General features: G+C 50.6%; 1 protein-coding gene across 6 annotated transcripts, besides 2 other annotated features; it reads right to left on the minus strand.

The window, feature by feature from the left end:
- Positions 1-6,546: 6,546 nt before the first annotated feature.
- Positions 6,547-22,589, minus strand: IRX2 (iroquois homeobox 2). 6 transcript variants are annotated; one of them, XM_011513979.3, is made up of 5 exons: positions 22,077-22,589; positions 20,294-20,699; positions 19,257-19,964; positions 18,453-18,528; positions 12,765-13,944 (listed from the first exon to the last, which is right to left on the minus strand). In XM_011513979.3, the coding sequence occupies exons 1-4, from the start codon at positions 22,323-22,325 to the stop codon at positions 18,476-18,478; spliced, it is 1,416 nt and encodes a 471-aa protein (XP_011512281.1). In that variant the 5' UTR covers positions 22,326-22,589; the 3' UTR covers positions 12,765-13,944; positions 18,453-18,475. The 6 variants fall into 6 exon arrangements, 4 of the variants coding, with proteins under 4 accessions (XP_011512281.1, NP_001127694.1, NP_150366.1 ...); NM_001134222.2 differs by lacking the exon at positions 12,765-13,944 and adding an exon at positions 16,757-17,698; XR_007058585.1 differs by lacking the exons at positions 18,453-18,528; positions 19,257-19,964; positions 20,294-20,699; positions 22,077-22,589 and adding exons at positions 6,547-8,051; positions 8,158-8,233; positions 8,644-8,796 and having other exon boundaries at positions 8,880-13,938.
- Positions 18,728-19,673: an enhancer, noted in NCBI's record as "H3K27ac-H3K4me1 hESC enhancer chr5:2747930-2748875 (GRCh37/hg19 assembly coordinates)". NCBI's record gives its function as "activates a minimal SCP1, AML or CMV promoter by ChIP-STARR-seq in primed H9 embryonic stem cells {active_cell/tissue: H9 hESC(primed)}" and the evidence as "EXISTENCE:reporter gene assay evidence [ECO:0000049][PMID:30033119]".
- Positions 19,674-20,618: an enhancer, noted in NCBI's record as "H3K27ac-H3K4me1 hESC enhancer chr5:2748876-2749820 (GRCh37/hg19 assembly coordinates)". NCBI's record gives its function as "activates a minimal SCP1, AML or CMV promoter by ChIP-STARR-seq in naive and primed H9 embryonic stem cells {active_cell/tissue: H9 hESC(naive and primed)}" and the evidence as "EXISTENCE:reporter gene assay evidence [ECO:0000049][PMID:30033119]".

Here is a 22,626-nt window from a genome sequence, read left to right on the forward strand (position 1 = left end):
TTCAAAAACTAGAAGCCTGTGTCTCCTGAAACCGGGAGATTTCTCACTGAGCTCCAGATACACTCGATAGAGACTGCTTAATGAAAAGGAGAGGGTGAGCACCATGTACCCCTGCAATTTTCTCCACACAACTGGTGTTGGAGAGAATGTGCCAAGCTGCTGATTGGTGATGACTGACAATCCTAAAATATTCCTGAAATGCACGGTCAACTTGATAAGTCTTGCTTAAGGGTTGTTAATCTATGTGCAGCAACACACACATAACCCCTGCGCCAAAATTAGATTGTGCCGGCGAGGCATGAATCGAAGGGGTTGAGCCTGGTTATGCAATTAGAAGAGACTTGTGGGCTTTTCCAGGAGTGTGTGTGTGTGTGTGTGTATGTGTGTGTGTGTGTGTGTGTCCTAAAGGCAAAGGAAGCCTGGCAGAAAAAGAGAAAGGAGCAGGACAGAAAGAGCTGAAGATGGAACGTGTGTACTGAGCCTGTTGCTTCCGTTCAGTGCCAATCCAGGACCTGCCACTGACCTGCCAAGGAGTCAGCTAGAAGGTGACAAGGAGAGAGTAATTTAAAGGAAATGTTTATGAAAGCCGCAGCTGTGTATTCCGTCTCCCTTTCAGACTTCTGCTTATTCTCGGAAATTTAAACTCCGTGGGACAGGGATATAAATTATAAATATAGATAGAGATACAGATAATATATAGATTAGATATAGATATAGATTAGATATACAGATAGTCATGGGTTTATAAACTAAAAAAGATAAGATCTCAGAAAGAAACCCAGGGCTTGGATTTTAGTTTCAGACTCAAAAAGAACAAGAGCTAGAGTTGCTTCCTGGTGCACATGTGCAGGCTCCAGGCTAAGCACAGGGGCAGTTTCCAGGGTGGCCCCACAACATTGTGCACCCTGAGGAACAGCAGAGGGTGTGGCCTGGGAGCCAAGACTGGAAGCTCAGCACCACAGTCATCATCACTACCTTTTCGTATGGCAATGGTTTGGGGCTGTATTATTTATTTTTGCAAATACTGATTCCCTTTTGCTTGTGAATTTGCCATGGAATCATTTAAGAAAAACAACTTATGCTAGCAGCAGCTCTACTTCAATCAGGAAGGACATGCTGCCATTCCAATTTGTGGAGAGAAAGTCCATATTGCTTGGAGAATTGAGCCTAGGTCCTTTGTGTTTTGCTATATGTTTGCACAAATCTTTAGCGTCCTGATGGGCACTTACTAAGGCAACTCCCTGCAGTGAGGAGGGAATCTGGGAAAGGCACCATCCAGAGCTGCTGGCTTGGGCCGCTGGTCATTGCCATGGCCTCCGTTTCCTGCATGGAATCGTTTGCGCAAAGCTGAATGAAAGCTGGCAGCAGAGGCCAGAGAGGGTGGGGGCTGCCCAGGGCATGCGGCAGAGACAAGAGGACCTCAGCCCAGGAGAGAAAACTGGGTGCAGGATGTCTGTGCCTCAGGGAGGTTGGGGGCTGTACCTCAACAGAAGAGCATCTAGAGCAAACTCCTGAACCTTGATTAACTTGGGCAAATGACAAGCCTCAGTTTCCTTGCCTGTCCTGTGGAATGTTGTGAAGACGAGATGCCTCAGGATACATACACAGAGCAGGCACTAACTAAACGCTGCAGTTGCCGTTATCATCAGCTGGCATCCTTACACAAGCCACTCAGGGCTTCTGCACCCTCCTGTGTCTCCTGAGAACAAAATAGCATCAACTCAGATGAGCTGAGGAATTTTTATGACCTTTAAATGAGATGTTAGGTGGGCACCATGGCCCATGCTTGTCATTCCAGTATTTTGGGAGGCAGAGGCAGGAGGATCACTTGATGCCAAGACCAGCCTGGGCAACATACCAAGATTCCATTTCTACAAAAATGAATAAATAGATAAATAAACCAGTCATGCTGTTGTGCACCTGCAGTCCCAGCTACTCAGGAGGCTGAGACAGGAGGATTGCTTAAGCCCAGAAGTTCAAGGTTGCAGTGAGAGTGCCTCTGCACTCCAGACTGGGCCACAAAGCAAGACTCTATCTCAAAAAATAATAAATAAATGAGAAGCTGTGTTTGAAGGTGTTATGTAAACAACATACAACTAAATCTTAGCTAGTCCCACAACAGCTTGTATCAACCACAGCTGTGAATAAAATCTGCTGTAAAACAACTCAAGCCAAAGGCCCTTCCCCAGGGCAGGCCACAGGAGATATCCAAGTTTTCGTCCAAAATGCTCAACAGCACCCGGACATCTCCAGCTTCCCCCATATCACTGTTATTAATGGGCCCTAGATATTAGCCATGAAAGACGTGTGTTTTTCAGTTAGTGGACCTATTTGGGGTCACATAAACTGTGACCTGAGGATGAATTGGCTGGGCCCAGCGCTATGTAACCCCCATGGCAGAATGAAAGCTCTCCAGGGTCCTTGGTGGCTATCATTCCATCCAGTCTGGGTCCTGGGAGGCTCCTCCTCCTGCACCAATAAGTCAAGGAGGCCTGGGGTCAGTTGTTGAGCAGAAGCACTTGTGAGTTTCATAATAATTATCCCAATTCATCTCTGCCTGCATTCTCACCTCCCAAACATAGTCATGCCCCTGCGACCCCTGAAAACGAAATCTCCCTGAAAACCAGAGTAAACACATGTGTAATTTATTTCTTTTCTAGGACCAGGGAGCATTCACTGAGTTGTCACGCAAATGCCGTCATCAGCCACTAATTAAAGAAATAACATGTTGACGGAGAGGACACTTTCACATGCATTTGCCTATTTAACTTCTCTCGTCGAGGCCATTTATTTAAACAAATAGTAGCTAATGTTAATAAACCCGGTTTTTTCAATTTCATGAATTTCTTTTTCATCTTTGAGTTTCCTGCCCTATCAAAATGTTTGCATGCTGCCTCTCCTGAGCTGGGGGTCCTGAGAGGGCCTGGAAGATAATACAGCCCTGCAGGGGAAGCATGTGTGTGCTGTCCCAAACAGAGGCATGCTCACACCTGCAAGGGCACACATTCAGACATGTGTGCATACATCCACACACGTGTGCACACACAGTTCTGTGCAGTTTTCGACCTTGGACAATAATATATCTGGTGTATTTGTAAGCAGAGTTGTGAACTTCACTGACGTCATTGCTAAAAGGCCATCATTTATTCTACAGCAGAAAAAAGCCCAGAGGTTCAGCTAAAGAGTACTTAAACTTGTTCTAGAAACTTGGGTTCCCTTTGTATTTGTACCTAACGGGGACTGTACTCCTCACAGAGAGCTTTCCTACAAGTTTTACTGAAAGCATGTTTGGTTAAGCAGGCATGAGCTTGCTCACATCCCTGCACAGTGGAGAGATGGGGCGCGTAAGTACCCACAGGGAGCTGCCAGTAGGACCTGAGCGGGGCATGGTGGTCCACCTGCGGCTTCTCCTCTCCTCCTTCTCTCAGTCACATCCCCTTCTGCTTCTCACGTTAAAAATCTTTCCATCAGCTTATGGCATTCCAAGACTTCAGGATCATTTAAATGTGTACCTTAATAAGGGCACATGTTGAAAATAAATTATAACTATCTGCATCTTAGATTGAGCTAAAAAGCATTCACAGGAAGAGGGTCTGAGAATGTGAAGAGGGTCATGTGAGTCTCCTGTGCAGGAGAGAGAGCAAAGGATGCTCACTGAGAGCCTGACTTTAGAGATTCTGAGATTGCATGAAACACCCCGAGAATCCCCTGTTCTACACATGAGCTGCTTCCCTGGCCCAAACACAAAGATCTTTCCTCCAGTCAGGAGGCCCAGGGACTCTGAGACAGGCAGCTGTCTGCATCGGGGCCCTGCAGCCAACACAACACCTGCTGTGACTGTCTGCACAGCCTCTTACACCTGACTGTCTATACAAGCCTCCTGCACCTGACTGTCTACACAAGGCTCTTACCCCTGTGTACACAAGCCTCCTGCAGCTGTCTACACAAGCCTCTTACACCTGTGTACACAAGCCTCCTGCACCTGACTGTCTACACAAGCTTCCTGCACCTGACTGTCTATACAAGCCTCCTGCACCTGACTGTCTACTCAAGCCTCCTGCACCTGACTGTCTACACAAGCCTCCAGCAGATGGTTTTCTACGAGGGGCCCATGCAGCTAGTAGTCTACGCAAAGCCCCAGAAGGAAGAGGTGTTTTCAGATGATAGCAATGCACCCACTGGAATCCCAGCAGGGATGAAGGAGGAGAGTGGAGCAGAAGGAAACTGGCAAAACTGGGGTTTTCCAGGGGGGTCCAGCAGCCTTGGGTTGCAGTCTTCAGGGTAGCAGTTCACCCAAAAGCCCTGGGATTTGGCAACGGTGCAGCTGTGCTGCGCTCTGGGAAGACATTCTGGTGGTGGGTGCGAGGCAGCATGGTAAAGGGAGGCTTTGGGGCAGGAGGCTGGTGTTGAGGATCCGTAAAGGGCAGAGAGTGAGCAGCAGCAGGGAATGGGAAAGGCAGGAGAAGAGGGTAAAATGAGGCCAGTGGGCAGATGAGCAGCGCTTTTTAAATTGCCATGTGTTTTCCTATCAAAACTGCTGAAAAGAAAATGCTCAATCTCATATGAGATTGTGGCTTATGACATCTGTTGTTTCTTCTTCTTCCTGTAAATTCTCTGGACCTGGAGCGTAAATTACTACTTGAACATTGCATCCTTTTTGAACAAATCCGGTGTCTTCTGCAGACATACAGGGTAGCCACAGTCAAGAAGAAGTGAGCTGATAGGGTGCCAGAGGAGGTGCTGCTCTGGGCCACATAACAGGCAAAAGACATCCAGGAGTTGTTCTAAATACACAACTCAAGATAGCAGTGGCTGCATTGCCCTGGAGCCAATGAGGACCCAGAAGAAAGCTGTCTTCCCTGTAGGTTTGAAGTGGGTTTTAATGGTCTCATTTCTAGTGCATTTAGATTCATAAGTTGGATTGCATTAGAAACACAGTGAAATCCAACAAGAAATTATTGGAAGCTCAAGTTACCATCTCATGATTCCAGTTACACTTGAGCTGAAAGTGAGAATTTTGAGGGAACTCTAATCCGTCAGCCACAAGCAATGTATCCAACATGTATGCATTTGAATGTAGCTTGCACAGGTGGCTCCAAGTGCCAAATCTCATTGAAAACCCTCATGCCCAGAGCTGTTCCTTTGATTGCATCAAATTGTCTCTCCCCTTTTCTATCTGTGAACACTTAAAAACATCCTCTCAGTTGGAGAGGCTGCTTGGAGTGAGTCCACAAATATATGCTGTGTTTATTTCAGGTCAGTGCAAACCTAGCAATTCTCCCTGGACTATGAATCTTGCATCCTCGTAAGTCAAGGAGACCTCAGGGTTATATGAAAAAGTCTGGAGTCCATTTCAAGAGTGAGTGAGGCATTGTATTCTAGATCTGCCTCCTGCCATGGGAAGAGACTGTTCCAAGGATGCTGGGAAGGACCAAGTTCCACCTCATTTTGCCTGGCTGCCAGAATGCTGCCTAAATTTTCACCTGGAGGATTTTATTTCTTATTTTCTCAGCCTTGGTTCGTCAACTTTTAGAAAAAAAAAAAAAGTACCAATTCCTGGGTCCACTCCAAGCCCACTGAGCTCCAATCTGCTTCCCGGTGGCCCAAATGTCCAACCAGGCTTAAGGACCCTGGCTTGAGACATGAAGGCACCGAATGTGAACGGTGAGTGGCACACATGCTGACTGTCAGTAAATCCATGCTGAGCTAAAATGATCATGTTTAAATGGTAGCATTTACTTATTCATTAGAAGAGTACATGATTCAAGAACAGGCTTTCTTAGAGAAAGGAAAGAACGGGAAGGCTTGGGAAGTCCACCAAGCGAAGAGAAATGTTGAAATCAATATTGGGATTCCTGTGCTGAAAGACAAAGTTTCTCTACTTTGTATGTTACCATAGGGTGATTCTGGATGAACAAAGGCTGTGTAACCCTTCATCTCCATCCATAAAAGATGTTCGGATGTGTGAGTTTAGTTATGTGAATTCTGACCCAGCTTCCCCCTACTGCACTCCAGAGCTCCAAGCTATGCATAAAGAAAAGTCTCACTTGGCAAATATTTTTCAATATGTTTCATCAATATTAAGTTTTCTAGATTTTGGTAAATGAAAATTAAGAATGCCTAGTCAAATTTGGATTTCAGATAACCAACAAAAGTTAAATGTGACTGGTTGTCTTGTATTTAGCAACTCCGTACTTTACATATACTTATATGTTCATGTTTGAGTATTTATATGTCATTTCTGGTTTTATTGCATTGTACTTCTATTGTACTTTTTATTTGTCTCAGATATCTAAGGTGTACTTCTGAAATTAGGAAGGGATCTGTTTTTGTGCTACACAAAATGAAAACCCATAGAAAGTACAACACAAAGAGTGAACCCTAATATAAACCATGGATATAGTTAATCATAATGTGTCAATATTGGTTTATCAATTGTAACAAGTGCACACTAATGCAAGATGTGAATAATGGGAAAACCTGAGTGTCAGGTTATCTGGGAACATGACATTTGCTATGCATTTTTCTCTAAACCCATAACTTCTCTAACAAAATATTTTTTAAAAAATCAAACATACAACATGTATAAACACATGCTAATATGTTTTATTTTCTATATGATGTAAGCAGAGTCTGGCATCCTGGGTGTGAAGTTAGAAGGAAACTGAGAATTGAGCTGAATGCCAGGCCCCATGATCCTGGTGAACTGCTGATAAGATGCTCACCAGCAACTAGTGGAGCTTGGTAAATTGTCTGAGATTTGAACTCAGAACTCAGAAGCCCAGACTGTAGCAAAAGCTACCTCTGAGTCTAGTTGTGCTGCACCGAGGTTAAAATGAAGTAGAAATTGGAACTATTAACCTCAAGGAAGAAAAAAATTCCACTCTGTGCCCTTCTCCACGTGGCCCTTTTCCCTGTGGGGCAGCTCTGAGGTCTTGCCATGCTCCTTGGCCTCCTCCCATCTGAACTGACCTTCTTACCCTATCAGCCCACGCCATGGGTTCCTAACATCTAGTGCAGTTGAAACCAACATCCCAGTCTTCCCCCAAGCCCCTGTGTCACACCTTGGCATTTACTCTTCCCAACAGCCCTCGGGTAGGTGATGTGTGCAGGTGGGAGGATGAGGTTCAGCAGGGATGCCTGCAGCCTTGCCCTCCACTGGGCCCTGGTGAAGCACTCCAGCCCTGAGTTCACACCTGGGATCTCCCAAATGTATGCCCTTCCCACTACCCTGGCCCCTTCTGATGCGATTTCTGAGACCTCTTTCATCTCAGGGATTAAATTTTTAGAATTAAAACAATTCAGCTTCATAATGAAACTTTTTAATGAAAACTTTTTATGGATAAGTTATAGTGTGCATTGTGTCTTTAAATTTTAATAGAAAGCTTTGAATATGCTAGAAGAAAAATTTTTTTGGAAAATCACAAATAATTTAGTTATTTTTATTTCTTACATTTGATTTGCTATCAATTTTTGATGAAGATATATTTAAATGTATGCTTTGAGAAGGATCACTTTTTAATTTTTGAACCACTATTGTCAAAACACAAATTATGTGAAAATCTTGATTGCTACAGGATATGGAGTGATTCTATTTTTTTAAAGGCAAAATATTTCATAGGATAAATATGTACTTTATGAATTATTCTGTCTGTATTTTTTTGCAAATCCTAACATTGCTACCCCCTCAGAATAGAATGCCAGACGTACATAAGAATCATTAAATCTGGTCCTCTTTTGATATGTTGATGACTTCCATGCAAATCATGCTTTGCACATATTTTGTGATTTCTCTCATTTGAAAACGTATTTTCCAAGGCAGGAGGATAAGCATGTTGTGTATAAGCACATTGTATCTAGCAGCTGATTTACAAGTGGTCAGTGTTCAGACACACAGGGCCTCATTTGTCCTCTTGTCCTGGTCCCCACTGCGGCCATCTCCGGTGGATAGATGGACAGCATGCGGTGGTGGTCTGTGGAAGTGGGCCGACCACAGCCATGCCAGAACCAGCCTGACCCATGGCCTGCTCATGCCTGTGGAACCCCAAAACCTGACACAGAAGTAGCTCCGTTCATTCACGAGAGGCCTCAGGTGTGGCTCCTGGTCACTTTAACATCCACGTGGGTAGCAAGTGACAAGTAAATACAGAAAAATACCTGCATTATTGAGCAGCCATTCTCCAGCTGAGTTAGAAGAATCTTCCAGGCAGACGGATCAGTCTGTTCAGGTCAGCTGAGAAAGGAAAGAGCTCAGTGTTCAGAGGTTCAGAGAAGTGACAGGACTGGCGAGGACAGAGGGCGGAGACAGGCAGACCCTGGACATGTTTCTGTGCCCGCTGGCCTTCCTTGGCTTCATCTAACTAACAAGAAGCCCTCTGCAGAGCCTGCTACGTGGGGCCCGGTGGCACATGGAAGAGATGGGCTTTCAGGGGCAGTCATTTGGCCCACTCAGATGAGCCCCACTAGCAGGTCTCGAGTGCTGTCCTCTCCACCAAGATCACAGGAGTCGATGGTGAGCACCCACTTCCCCAGCCCCATCTCCTGCCTGTCCTGTAGGGCAACTGTCCAAAGACAGGGCTGTGGACCATGCCTGGGTGTTCACCCATCGTACTCCATCTCATGTCTACCCGTAGTAGTCATTACCTGCCCTCAAACATTCCGCCTGAGGCTGCCAGTTCTTGTAGGAAGTGGCCCCGGTGCCAGGCCAACAGCTTTCCTAGGCTTCAGAACACCGAGATGATTTCGGGCCATCACTGATCTTCACCCACCAGAGAAGTTTTTCACCAGGGGCTTTTCCTGACGTCAAAGTAACAGCCAGGTTAAGGGAACCCCTGGCCTGGGGGTGTCCCCCTGCCCACCCCCTGCAGCCCACAGCCCACCTGTCCTGCCTGCTGACAGGTCTCCTCCCACTCCTCCCGGCCTTGTTTGCACTGGAAAGTTGGGGTGCATCGGCTGTGCACCTGAATGTGTTATTTGCTTCTGCTTAAAGATCATAAAGTCAGTAAATTGTTTAAAATATAACTCATTTGAGGGTCTAGCTCCTGCAAAGTCTGTTTGTCTTCTTTCAAAGCATGCCTTAACTCAGCCCCTTCCTTTATAAAACAGTCCAGCTCCATAGAAATTTTAAACAAACTGTCTCTCTCCTCTGGGCTTGGACTCAGCCCCCTCCCGGTCACAGGCCTGCCTGGAAGAAGCAGGTTGGGCCCTCTCAGCCGCTTCTGTTTATATCTGGGCCCATTATCATGAAGGGCACTTTTATTTGAGGAGTTGAGTATTACATTAGCATTATAAAACAAATTGTTTTTCCATTGCTTGAGAGCCAGGGAGAATAAACCTGGACGGGCCATGGCCTCCTATTTAAATAAACTAACGTCATCCTGGGTACCAAGGAGCCTGATTCGCCCCCCTGTTCCCCGCTTGGGCCGAGTTGTCCTCCCGGCCGCCTCTTTGGTCCCCTGGCCTCTGGGGCTCAGTGGGCTGTTCCCAGGGAAGCCTTCACCCTCTCTCCACCAGGGCTGTACAGTGACCCCGAGTCCAATGGCAGAAAGGATGGGGCTCATCACAGGGCCCAGGACCCCAAAGGTTACAAAGCACCCACCCCTCCCCATCTGACCCTCACCACCCCCAGCCGCACGCTTGGGCCTCCCTCCTCCTGTGCCTCCGGGACCGTCTCCCCACCTGCGGGAGGCCAGGTGTGTGGCTCCAGAGACCCTCCACCTGAACTACCCGCTCCCAGAGCCCCAGTCAGGGCCGCCAGAGGTCGCGGAGGGTGAAGCCAATGGGCCTGGACGCCGAGGCCGGGGAGAGGAAGGAGCGAGGTAATGGCTGTGGCTGGAGACCCTCTTCTGACTCCCCAGGCTGCCGGGTAGGCCTACTGTGGGATGGGACTCAGGCGACCAGACGTGCTCTCCGTCGCCTCCATCCCGGCCGCTGACTCCGCTGTGTCCCCTTGGATCCATCACCACCTCCAGGCAGCCCTCCAGCGGGTTCTGGTGGCGCCGAGAGCTTCGAGGGGACTCAACGCGCTTTGTAGGGCCTGTGAAATCCGGCTTGTCGCATAAGCTCCCTGAAGAAGAGAACAAACTTCCCAGACCAGGGGCCCGCGGGGAGCGGTGCAGACACCGCGGCAACCCACCCCGAGCCCGCCGGCCCTCGCTCCGTGCGCCCAAGGGGCGTCCCCCGAGGTGTCGCCTGCAAGGCAGCCGCGTACGTCGTTCTCAGTGCGGGTCCTGGGGGCGGCGGTGCCGGGGGTACGGCCTGGGGTCCCGTCGGTGTCCACTGCCCGCCTGGGCGCTGGGGCCGCAGATCGGGGCTACACGGCTCGCGCCGACCGAACGCTGCCGCCAGAGCGGTGGAAAAGCGCTGGGCAGGCCGGCCTGGGGCTTTCGAGCTCTGCCGCCGAGCGCAGCAGAAATACGGTGTGCAGGCAGGACCCGAAACAGGAGAGACCGGGGGGACCGGGGAGGAGAGGAAGGCTGGCTGTGGCAGGAACCCGGGCGCTCGGCACCTCCCCTGGTCCCGGGGGCCCTGAACCCCCGCCGCCGTCGCCGCCGGACCCCGCGATCGTCCTGAACCCGGGCCGGGCGCTTTCGGTTTCCCGGCGCTCTGCGGCGCTGCTTTGTTCACCCTGCGCGCGCGGTTCCCAGAGTCCAGAGCTGCGGGCCTGAGGCTGAGGGCCAGGGAGCGAGGCGAGCACCCGGGGCCAGCCACGGAGGAGTCCCGACCACCACGGGAGCAGGGGGACTGGGAGGCAAGAGGTCGGGGGAGGCCGGGGTCAGGGCGGGAGGAACCCGATGGGTCCCGCTGCGGCTTCAGGCGCGGGGTATAGGGTAGGACCAGGAAGGGGACTGAAGCCCGGGACCAGAGCTGGGGGTGCCAGGAGCGGGGCCTCCAGTGGGAGCTCGGGGGTCCTCGCGGGTTCTTCTGGGTCGGTTGGTGGCTACCCATCCCCAGAAGCCTGGCTGCATTCCCCTATAAGGAGGCTTCGGAGGGCCCGACTGGGTTTCCCCTCCAGGGCACCGGGTCGCAAAAGCGGCGTCGAAAACTCATGAACAGGCGGCCGGGTCTGGGGCCGCCGGGGCAGTCGTGGCGTGCGGGGGCGGGGGTCCTGCCCATCAGGCTGACTTCAGGGTCTCGGTCTGCGGCCTCCCTGGCCGTCGCTGCCTCCTTTTCCAGGTGCGCCTCGGCCCAGGGCTCCCAGCCACCACCTTGGGGCCGCAGAAGGCGAGCGGTCACACCGGGGCTGAGGTCAGGAGCCGGCTCACCCCCTCTCCTGCGACTGTTCCCTGACCTGCGACTGTTCGGTTCTCCCGACTGGCCTTGGTCGTTGCCTTTTAGGGTCTCGGTGTGACCAACTAAGCAGACACTCAGCGGCAGCGCCGCGCTTGGGGAGACTGCAGGGCAGAAATGGGCCTAGAGGTGAAGGAGCCCTTCCCAAATCGGACAGTCCCGGGGCTGGAGAGCCGGGAGCAACCCAGTTCCCTGAAGAAATGATTGCAGCTGCTCAGGCAAAACACGTAGGCCTGGAACCAACCCTGGGTGGGCGTTTAAGGGCTTGAGCCAGCTTCTGCCCCTCAAGACTCCCCAGGGAGCACGCGCCTGCGGGGAAGGACGTGGGCCGGGTGGAAGGTGGCCCGGAACCCCGGGAAGAACGCGGGCAGGGCACCAGGCAGGCAGCCGGGCCAGCGCCTCCAGCTCCCGCACCTTCGGCCCAGGGTCTCCAGCACTGGGAAGGCGACAGCGGCGACAGTGCACCGTCCCCCTTGCACGCACTGAGGAGCCTGTCTTGGAGCTGAGACCTCCTCGCCCCCTCCGAGCTTACTGAGCACCCGGCCGGCAGCCCCCCGACTCCCCAGGATGCTGCCTTGACCCCACCTAATCTGGTCACTCACCTCCTAACCTTTCAGGGTCCAAGAGGACCCGCGTCCTGCCCCACCTTGCTGGGTGCAGAGCCGGGTGCACGCGGGACCCGCACTCGCTCTGGGCGAACACGCAGCGCCCTTCCCGGCCTCAGGCCGAGCCGGACCGCAACGCCGCTATTAGTAAGGACTAAAAACAAAAGTTCTCCCCGAAGCCCACCTTTCCCCAGTAAGAAGGTGTCAAGGGTTAAACCGTTCGATTTGCCCTTTTTCTTGATCTTAGAGGGAAGAGGCAAGAACTCCTGGCACCTTTATGGGCCTCAGACCTGTGGCTGCTGCCAGCAGTCTCAGTCCCACTAACTTTGATCAGCCTTATTAATTCCAGCTGTGCTCTATTTGTTTGTCATTTTCCCCTTTTCCTCTGGAATCATTATTTATAGCAGGAAAAAAAAAAGCCCACTGTTAGAATGGAGGCAAGGAGGGAATTTCTGAGAACGACTGGGTGAATGTATTTTTCCTTAAAGGTCACCAAAAAGGAGGAGAGGTGTAGGGGTGAGTCTTGACTCTTATGAGCTCTTCTTTGAATTTATTACTCAAGAGCATTAACTAATTACCAGATCAGATAAATGAAAAAAAAATTCCCTAAAATAACCCAAGGTAATTATAACCGTGCTGTTGACACTAACGATTAATAATTGATCAGGAGTCACACACAATAAATTGTCAATTTATCTCCCCACAAAAATGCGAGTGCTTGTGTAGCATTGTGTTTTGTTTCTTCCCTCTGGGTATTTTCTGTGAATATCGAGTCCGTATTGGAGGCAGCCCCAAACCTCATAGTCAATTCTTTAAGAATATTACATTTCATTTATTTACAGCTCCATATAGAACAAAGTAACATTAGAACACCTTTTAAAAATACTTTTATTATCATGGGGCCAGAGTTAAACAAACAAAAAAAATTCTTCCTCTTTCCTTTTATCTGGGATTGCGCAAATACGGACAACAGATATTTCCTTTCTTCATTGTATTAGCAATACAGTCCTCTTAAATTGTGTCTTCAATTATTATCTTTCTTAGAAAGAGAGAGAACACTCTGCCTTCACGGTAGGAAACACAAGACTATTCTCTGTTCCAAGGGTGGAGGGGACAGAGGTGCCGGTTGAGGCCACATCCATCTGTTTCTAGGGATGCAGCTGAAGGGAGAGGCTGATGCATACAAGTGGGGTGTCTGCTTCCTAAAACTGGGGCTCAAAGTGTTTTCTCTTCCACCCATCAATGGCTGAGGTCCAAGTGCATATTGTTGAAAACCAGATTCGTAGCATTCTAGCCCAAGCAAAGGGGAGGGCTAGTGAGTGCTTTCATTATGGCCAATAGATAGTAATTTTCAGCAACTGGAAAATTATATTGTCATAGATTACTTCTCCTTATAATTAGCCTTTAAAATATCTGTAGGGATTTGTCACTTGCATAAAGGTTTGAAAATACATCAAAGGGACATGTCCCCCTTGCGATTTGTAGAAATTCAAATGATGTTAATCATAATATCCACATAGCACAGACGGTTGTGTATTGTTCCCAAGATAGCCTCTTCGGTTAACGCTTTCAAAAAAATAGTTAAAATGTTATGTTTGTAAAAGCAGTTTAAAACATATTTATTATATCTATTTATATTTTAATTTTGAGTCTAAATGAATGTTTTCCTTGGGATTCTCAAGGTACTGGGCAACTAAAGAAAAATTATATAGTGATAATTATTGTATATTGTTACTTGGATGAAACTTTCTCATAATTCACTTCAGAGTGTTATTGAAATTTGAAAATGCCTCTGAGTGGACCACAAATTTGTTTGGAACAATTTTTTTTTCCAAATTGATGTCTGTTTAATTAGGCTGTAACAGTGGTAGTTTAGTATGTACATTCACTCCGTAGTTAAAAAACAAAGGGTCCACTTTACTTTTAGCCTCCTTGATATGTACTTAAATGCAATTGTAAATGATCCGAAAACGCGCACGGGCTTCGGAGGTGGCTATTTCATCTTTGTGTTTCTTCGCAGTGGTTCTCGCCTCCCAGAATCCGCAGAGATCTAATAAACACATAAGTTAAAGAGAGCCTCAGGGGAACCCCGAGCCCTCTCCCACCACTCTCCCAACTCCAGAATGAGATCCGCGGCGGCCCGGCGAGGGGGTTCTGGGGAGGCGCACCCCAGGCTGGCTACCCTGAGCCCAGGCCCAAGGCTGCCCCTCTAGGCCCCAGCACCCAGCCCCCTTCCTCTCTCCGCTCCCCGCCCCTCCTTCCTCGCATCAGACAAAGGTGGATGAAGTTCTTTTCAAGTTTCAAAGGCAGTTGCTGGGCAGCTTTGCAGAAACAATAACTCTTTTATTGGGAACAAATGTTGACATTTGACGGGCGCGGGAGGCAGCGCCCGCGCCGGCCGCCGGGCAAGCGCCCCGGTGCTCTCGGCAGCCCCCGGCCCCCGGGGCCCACCTGAGATTAAAGCGCGAATTCCGATAAATCAGCTCTAAGGAAACCCTGGGCCGCGGAGAGCAGAAGGGCTGTCGCGGATCCACCACGCGGGCGCCGGGCCGCGGAGCCGGGAGCGCGCCCAGGCCTGCACCCGCAGCAAAGCCAAGGCCACCGCCCCAAAGCCCATCTGCTCCTGGTCGCCCCGTTTTGCCGACGTCTCCCCGGCCTCAGTCAACAACAGCAAACTTCTATCTTGGAGGGCTAGGTAATTTTTGACTATGAAAATTTTAAAGCAAAAATAAAATTCAGACCCCATTAACTTCCCTCTCCAGTGAAAGATATCTCTCTCTTTCTCTCTCCTTCCTTCCTCGTTCATCTTTTCCAATGACCAGCATGGAGAGGAGCTCATAAATCACTCTACATTTCTTTAAAAAGATCCTTCTAAACACCTGCAGGTTTTAGGTTCTTAGTGTATATTTTAGAAATCAAGTTCTCTAGAAGGAAATTCAGGTCAGGAGACAGAGTGGGTAAGTTATGGAAATCTTTAATAATTTGTTGGGCATATAAACATCAAAGAAGCTTCCTTAGCCTTGGCTAATCTCCTGAGCTGCTTTGAGTTTTCACCAATTGAAATATGCATGTCCTCCCAGAGAATGGAGTCGTGTGTGTGTGTGTGTGTGTGTGTGTGTGTGTGTGTGTGTGTGTGTTGAAAGGGAACAGGGATCGCATGTTCAGGTAAAACAATCTTCCTCATTCCAAAGGGAGGCGGCTTTTACCCCTGCTCCAATGCCTGAACATAAGCGCAAAGGTTAATTTTGGCTTAGCTTTTCTACTCTCACACTTAAGAAATGTACTGCCTTAAATGTTGTATCTTCATTAGAGTGCATGATCTTTCCGTGTTTATTTTGTTAAATATTGTTAACTTTCATACTTTTCACAGAAGTCTTCCAATTACTCTAGTTATAACATTACACATAGCAGAGACATTGCTGCCATGTGCAATTTATTTCCTGCTGATTTAGGAAATATGGGTAATATTAATAAAAGTAAGCTACGTAAGACCTTCAGACAACAATCTAAAACGCTTCCTGAAGGGGAAAATCATTATCTCTATGAAAAGTCTATGAAGGTTTTATTTCTAAAACCAAAACAAGCAAATATACTCAATCCCCCTTTTACCCTCCAGACCTCAGATGTGTTTGTTTCCAGATACACTGCCAGAGTGGCAAAGCTTACCATGTGAAAAATCTTTCCTCCTGCCAATAGATAGCTCAGCTCCACACACGCTCATATCTATTACTAGGAGAGGCAGAGAAGACAGAAAAACAGTTCTCCACCACAGAGATTTACTTTATGTCTGACCTCCAAATGCTTCAATATTTAAAACTAACAAAATACATAAGAAATAACAGAAAACAGAAACCTGGTTCTGCCCCCCTTCTCCACAGTCAAACCACAATCACTTCTCCCCATCGGTATGGCTCTGTGTCCAGTTAACAGTCCCCTGGCTTGGCCTCAAGTATCTAAGATTACTTTCAAATACCCTTTCTAACAAGACCCCAGCAAGAGGCCACTAATTTCTATGGCAAAAAAAGCCACTAGAGAGAGATCCGTTTGTCAATATCAACTGGTCCAGCAATTTCCCATCCTCAGACACATTGGCCTATCGGAGCTGGCAGATGTTTAGACAAGATTTTATAAATTGTTCAATATCAGCCCATAATGAACCCCAACTGACCATTCCAAAGCAGCTAAAAGCATCCCAGACCTCCCCCGCTGGGATCCAATAATGCTCTCATGCTGCAACATTATTAATCATGGAATAAAATAGATGAACCTCTTGAAAAATAAGTGTATGATTGATTAAAGGGCAATCTAAGAAGCTATTATTCTTGTTTTATAACCGTAAGTTATATTCACTCAATTTATCTTTCGAGAGGAAATAAATGATTGTTCATTTCTTCTCTGAAATTATATTATATGGATATCCATATAATTTTGCTGAAAATTAAAGTGACAGGCTTGCTACTTTTATGATACTAATCAAAGGGGATATGTTACTTGACTACAAATTTTAGACTTGTCCTATAATTAGAAAGTGAGTAACACAATAAAGAGGCAGTAGTCTAAGGTTGTTTAAAGGTTTCTTTTCCCCCAGGGTAAGAGTAAGAGCCACTGAAAGGAAAGTAAGTCCCTCCCCCAGATCCTCACCCGAGGTTTAATGTGCATTATAGGAAAAGGACAGTTAAGAAATCCTTCCATAAATTTGAATAATTAGGCCAATTTGGATAATTCAGCCTTTAAAAAAAACAATTATTTCCATCAGTAATTTATTGGTGGGGGGGTGTGGCTCTCCATTATCAATATTATTCTCCAGTTTGGTTTACTGAGGAGGTTCAAGAAGCCAGCATCAGAAATAAATATAAAATGCATAGGGTGTCAGATCATTTTATTTTGCCAAGTTTTAAAAATTTACACTAACAAGTAATTAGCACACTCAGGGCACAAAAATCTTATGTTTTTTGGTTTTTTTGCAATACCTGTATAGAAATCATCTACAGCACATGTTTCTCCCGATTATATACTTCTCTTCCATCTGCCTTTTTTTTTTTTTTTCAATGCTCAGGAGAGAAAGGAGAGTTTATTTCACACAGGTTTTCATTAAAAAGGTGAGGTCAGATCACCTGGAGGTTATTCACTAGCGCTCTACCCCAAATCATTCTTCTAGGAAAAATAAGCCCCAAACATCATATTATTGTAGACTAGTCTGTTTTTATTTACAATTTAAGATATAAATTAGTAAAGAATTCGTGTTAAACAACCAACAAAGATTGTATAACCAGCAATGTTCAAATAAAAACCAGGCAGAATTTATTTACAAAAAGTTTAGATTCCATTGCAATACAACTTGCATAAATTACTAGAAGCTTTATATCATTATAAAAATAAATATCAAATTTGTTTCCACTTCTGAAGTACTCAAGTTCTTCCATCACGTTTTATTTCTACTGTGTACATCTTTTACAAATAAACTTTACAGTAAATCCTATCACACCTATAGAATATATACCGTGGCAATGAAGTGATCAATTCAAGATATCCTGAGAAAAACAGATTGTTTTCAAAAGTCACACATACATCGGGGAAACTATACTATGCCAACAAATTCACATATGTCCAACAATAGTCTGTTCCAATTGTTAGAGTCTGTGGGCTGACAGTGCTGTGTGGATCCTTCTCTTTTACAGTGGCACAAGATGTGGTCTGGATTTAGACATCTGTTTGTTGTATCTGTAAATTTATGAGCTTGGGAAGAGAGAATGGCCTGCTGACTTTTTTTTTTTTTTTTTTTTCAAAGCAATTGTGACACCTACCTGTGGACCAAGGAAAAAACCAAATCATCCCCAATCTTTCAGTTCCACAACAACACCATTATAAAAACGAGTTGATCTGAAGTGGTTCCAAATCTTTCTTATCTTCAAGATCTATGATTAGTAATTCTGACTCGTTGCAAAGCAACATATTTTTTGAGATACTGTTGTGAGCCCCGGGAGAATGTCAGAGTCCTGTCCACTTGGACATGGGTGGAGGGGAGGTTGGACAGGGCTGATAAAAGACTAGTACGCCTCGTGTCTCTTCAGTCTTATTTTGCAAACATCATCTATAAAGGTTTTTGCTACTCCAAGTTTTGGTAGCCCAAGCTCATCAAAGCATGTGTCTATTATGTGTCTAGCATAGTAAAAATGGCTCTAAATTGCATATAAATGCCCAGATTTTAATAATCTATTGTTTCAAAAGAAAACAACAGTAGTGTGTAATATATATATACACATGTACTATATATATACATGTACTATATATATACATATATATATTACACACACACACACACACATATATATATATATTTTTTTTTTCCTTCCCTAGGTAAAGGAGTGATAGAACTTGTGCCAAAAAGAGGGAATCTATAAAACAGAAAATATAGTTTCCCCCTTAAGGAAAGAAAAGCTGGACAAGATTGAAATGCTCTGTCTTCTAACCCCATGACCAGAAGCAAGAAAAACACATTAAGCAAGTTGGTGCTGGGAGGCTCCACAGGGTCTGGGAAGCACCAGGGTGCCCACTTACTTGCATTGCTGTGCTCGGCCCTTCTATAGGTAGGGCTGGACGCCCCCGCCAACCACGGTGCAGCCCTCGCTGGCATCTGTCAGGGGAGTGGGCAGTTAGTCAGAACCGACCCCACAGCCTGCTGGCTGCGCAGACCACCGTGCACCCACCATCCTCCACTCCCAGGCAAACAGCAGTTTGGGAAACCGACTGTCTCCAGGGCCGCTATCTGAGACGACTTTTGGTGATGGTCCCTAGTTCTTAACTTCCCCCCTTGAACTCCTCTTTCGGGTAGCCTGACTTAGGAGCAACACAGGCAACATAGCACAGGGGAAAAAACGGTTTTCTTTCCGAACAACGACAACAACAAAAAGCGGAAAAAACATTTGATTTTATCTTTTGAAGACAAAACGCCTCTGAGAGTAACTGGAACGTTCTGTTTGCCTCTAGCCAACGGCAGAAAAGCGGATTCAACTCTGACTCCTTAACAAGACACCGAAACACACCCAGGCTCATTAGGGCGACACGCTGTAATTTGAATTTCGTGGCAATCTGGGTTTGCCGAAACTAAGACAGCCACGATAGTAATAGTCAAAATAACAGTAAATTAAGTAAAAATAAATAATAACAGGGCAAGTCTAAAAAGAGGGCCACACCTTCTTTGGCTTCCATCTCGCCCTCCGCCCTCACTCTGCTAATTCTGGGTCCCAGGAGTGGCCCCCTGGATCTTCTTCCCGGACCCTCCCTCGGGTCTCCCGGGCGCTCCGCCTCCCCGGGGCTGGCTCTCCCTCCCCTCCCGGGCGCCGCCGGCCGCGGGCCGCCTACCTTTCTTGGGCTCGTAGCCGCCGCCCGGGGACCGGTAGTGGGACTCGAGCGGGTGCGCGCCCGCCTTGCCCGCGTCGCTGGCCGCCTTTGGCGCGGTGTGCAGGGCCTCGCCGGGGGCCGCGGCCGCAGAGTTGTACCGCAGGAGACCCTGGCCCTGCAGCGCCGCGTTCAAGTTCCCGTAGTTTGTGTAGTTGCCGTAGAAGGGCGACGTGTAGTAGAGGGGGCGGCCCAGCAGCGGCGAGGCAGGGTAGGGCGAGCCTCCTGGCGGTGCCCCGGTTGAGGCCGGCGCGGCGGCCGCGGGCAGCCCCGGTGGCCCGCAGCCCGGGCCCAGGCTCGGCTGCTTGAGGTCCGACGTGGCGATCTCGGCCAGCGACCACAGCTTGGGCTTGCTGGCGGGGGGCGGCGCGCCCGGAGACGTCCGGCTGCCCTGGGGCGTCTTGCGGCCACCGCGGGGCGCGGCCTCGGGCGGGGGGCTCAGCAGCGGCGCCTCCAAGCCGGTAAGCGGCGACGAGGTCACGGGCTTGGGCGGCGCCAGGCCCCGCTCGCCCTCCTCGTCGTCGTCCTCGTCGTCCTCCAGGTCGTCATACTTGTCCTTGCACTCCGAGCCCGATTCGCACAGGGGGTCCCCGGCGCGGCACGGAAGCTTCTCCCCGTCCGACTCGGCCGAGCACGAGTGATCCGTGAGCGAGTCCACGTGCAGGCTGATCCCTGTGGGGGCGCGGGCACGGTGGGTGGCACGAGGGGACAGCGCAGGCACCTGGAGCCCCCTCCGCCCCCTGTCCTGCGGCACTGGGCCCTCCCCACGGGACCCCTCACCTCGCCCCCACCCGGCCACGTGACAGGCGGAGCCTGACCTCCCCGGGAAGGGCCCGAGGAATCGCTCGCTCAAATCCCGGCGACCCCAGGGCAATGTGGTGCGGCTGGGGCTCCGGCCCGGACCTGGGGTGTCCGGCGGGCAACGTCCTCCCCGCCTTAGCTCTGCGCCCCGCCTGGGAAGAAAGCGCCCCGAGACCTTGCGCCGGCCGCTGCCCGCTCACCTTCGTCCTCTGCCGAGGTCTCCGTGCCCTCCTGCGCCTTGTCGGGACTCTCGTCCTTGCTTCTGGTAGCGTCGCCCTCGTCCTCGTCCTCATCTTCGCTTTTGTTTCTCGGGGCCCAGGTCATCTTGTTCTCCTTCTTGAGGCGCCGGCGCGCGTTGGCGAACCAGGTGGAGACCTGGGTGAGGGTCATCTTGGTGATGATGGCTAGCATGATCTTCTCGCCCTTGGTGGGGTAGGGGTTCTTGCGGTGCTCGTTGAGCCAGGCCTTGAGAGTGGCCGTGGCGTCCCGCGTGGCGTTCTTGCGGTACGCGGGGTCGTTGAGCTGGTACGGGTAGGCCGCGCTGCCGTACGGGTGGTAGCTGATGGCGCCGGTCATGCCGGTGGTGTGCGCGTCGTAGGGTGCGCCCTGGAACCAACAAGAGCCTGTGAGTGGAGTATGCGGAGACCCCGCGGGCAACCAGCCAGAGGATGCCACCCCTCCGCCCGCCCACGGCCACCGTTCCCCCCGTGAGTCTGGCTCTGGGGCTGCGCTTCCCGCCGCAAAAGAGCAGGAAAAACGCAGTGTGATTCGGGACCAGCTGTTGATCACAAAAAGTACCGGAGTTTTATTCTCGAATTTCTGAACTATTTCACTTTCCTAAAATGACCCATCTTCCCCTAAGTGTTCCGGAGCCGCTCGTGGCAATGTACACAAACCCTTGCACGTGCGCGCACACAGGCCCACAGGTAGCTCTTTGATATCTAAATTTCTGCAGATGCTTGGAGTGCGGCTGCCTCCCCCTACTCCCTCTTCCCCTCCCTTATATGGTTAAAAAAACACCCCAGAGCCCCCAATTCACTATTCACTGCTCTAAAGCTGGGCAAATCCAATTTGCAACTCAGAAGCCAGTCACCGTTTCGAATTCTTCAAATACGCCGTAATTAGCATTTTAATTCATCCTTTAACGTTTAAATTCGAGGCATTTGCAGCCTTCGCCAAGGCCCCAGCGACTCGGTCGCTGCCCAGAAATTCCGCCGAGGGCCGGCAGTCGCGACAACCCCGTAATGGCCTCAATCGCCCGTAACGTGCTTCGCCGCGGCCCGGGCCTGGCCCAGCTCAGTAACCTCGAGACTCGCGAGCCGCCCCCAGGTCGCCGGAGCAGGAGCTGCGCTCGGGCCACGGAGGACTCAGGCGGCCCTTAGCGGGTCACGCGCCCGCAAGCACGATATTTGAAAGCATGGTCCGCTGGACAGAGTAAGGCCGAAACCTGGGCGCCTCGGGCCGGACTCCGGAGCCGCAGCTGAATGCTCGGCTCCTGGGCCTAACTCGGTGACCCCCACCGCCCTGAGCCCCGCGAGTGAATGCGAACCGCCCGGCCGTCGGCTCAGAGGCCGCAGTGACGCGGACCCTCGCGCCCCACGCCAATGCAGGCGAGCACACAGCCCGCTCCGAACGCCTCCCCAGGCTGCGGTGCGGAAACCAGGGACAAACGGCGCCAGACCCCGGCCCCGGCGGAGACGCACTTCCCAGGCTCTCAGAGAAAATCAGCCGGCGAGCCGAGGGGACGCGCGGGGGGCGCGCGGGTCCCGGCCGGGCTCAGGGACGTCCCCGCCTGCCGCGCTGCCCTCCCCACCCGGGGCCCGGCTCAGCCTGCGGGGCGGCCAACCGAGCCGGCGACTCCTGAGTCGCCAGCCGCGCCACATTCCCGGCGGCCCCCGCCCGCCGAACCCGAGCCCCGCTCCGCCTGAGCCCCGTCTGGGTCCCGGCGCCCAGGAGTCCCGCGTCCCGCCCGCGCCCGGTTACCATGTAGGACGGGAAGCCGGCGGCGGCGGCGGCGGCGTCGGCCGAGTACTGCAGCGGGCTCCCGAAGCCGGTGGCCGCCTGCGCCGTGAAGGCCGCCGAGCCCGGGTAGGGGCTGAACGCCGAGCCCGACGCCGAGCGCGCCAGCTCCTCGCTGCGCGGAGCCGCCAAAGCCGACGCGCCGTAGGCCGGGCACGAGTAGAGCGCCAGCGAGCCGGGCGCCTGGTACAGGTAGCCCTGCGGGTAGGACATGGTGGGCGCGGGGCGCGGGGCCCGCGTCACGCCGAGCAGCGGGCAGGGCGCGCGGCGCCCTCCATCCACGCCCGGCCGGGGCGCGGCGCGGCGGCGGGCACCCGGACGGCCGGCGGAGGCAGGCCGGCCCGGGTACTAGCCTGGGCGGCCCGCGGGCCGGGGCGGCGGCGGGGTGGCGGTGGCGGCGGCAGCAGCGCGGAGCCGGTGGGCGCAGCCGCGCGCCAGGCCGGCGGTCGGGGTTTGGGGGAGTCTGGAGTCGGGAGTGAGGAGTTGAGGAAGGAGCGCTCGAGTTTCCGAGGGA

The sequence above is a fragment of the Homo sapiens genome, chromosome 5 (genome assembly GCF_000001405.40).
Source record: "Homo sapiens chromosome 5, GRCh38.p14 Primary Assembly".
Classification (NCBI taxonomy): domain Eukaryota; kingdom Metazoa; phylum Chordata; class Mammalia; order Primates; family Hominidae; genus Homo; species Homo sapiens.

Excerpts from the sequence above, each read along its gene's own strand:
- IRX2 (XM_011513979.3), bottom strand. The coding sequence starts at position 22,325 with ATGTCCTACCCGCAGGGCTACCTGTACCAGGCGCCCGGCTCGCTGGCG. Across the intron at positions 20,700-22,076 it reads CCGGCTTCCCGTCCTACATG|GGCGCACCCTACGACGCGCA; the intron begins GTAACCGGGCGC and ends TGTTGGTTCCAG. Across the intron at positions 18,529-19,256 it reads CGGCTACGAGCCCAAGAAAG|ATGCCAGCGAGGGCTGCACC; the intron begins GTAGGCGGCCCG and ends CTCCCCTGACAG.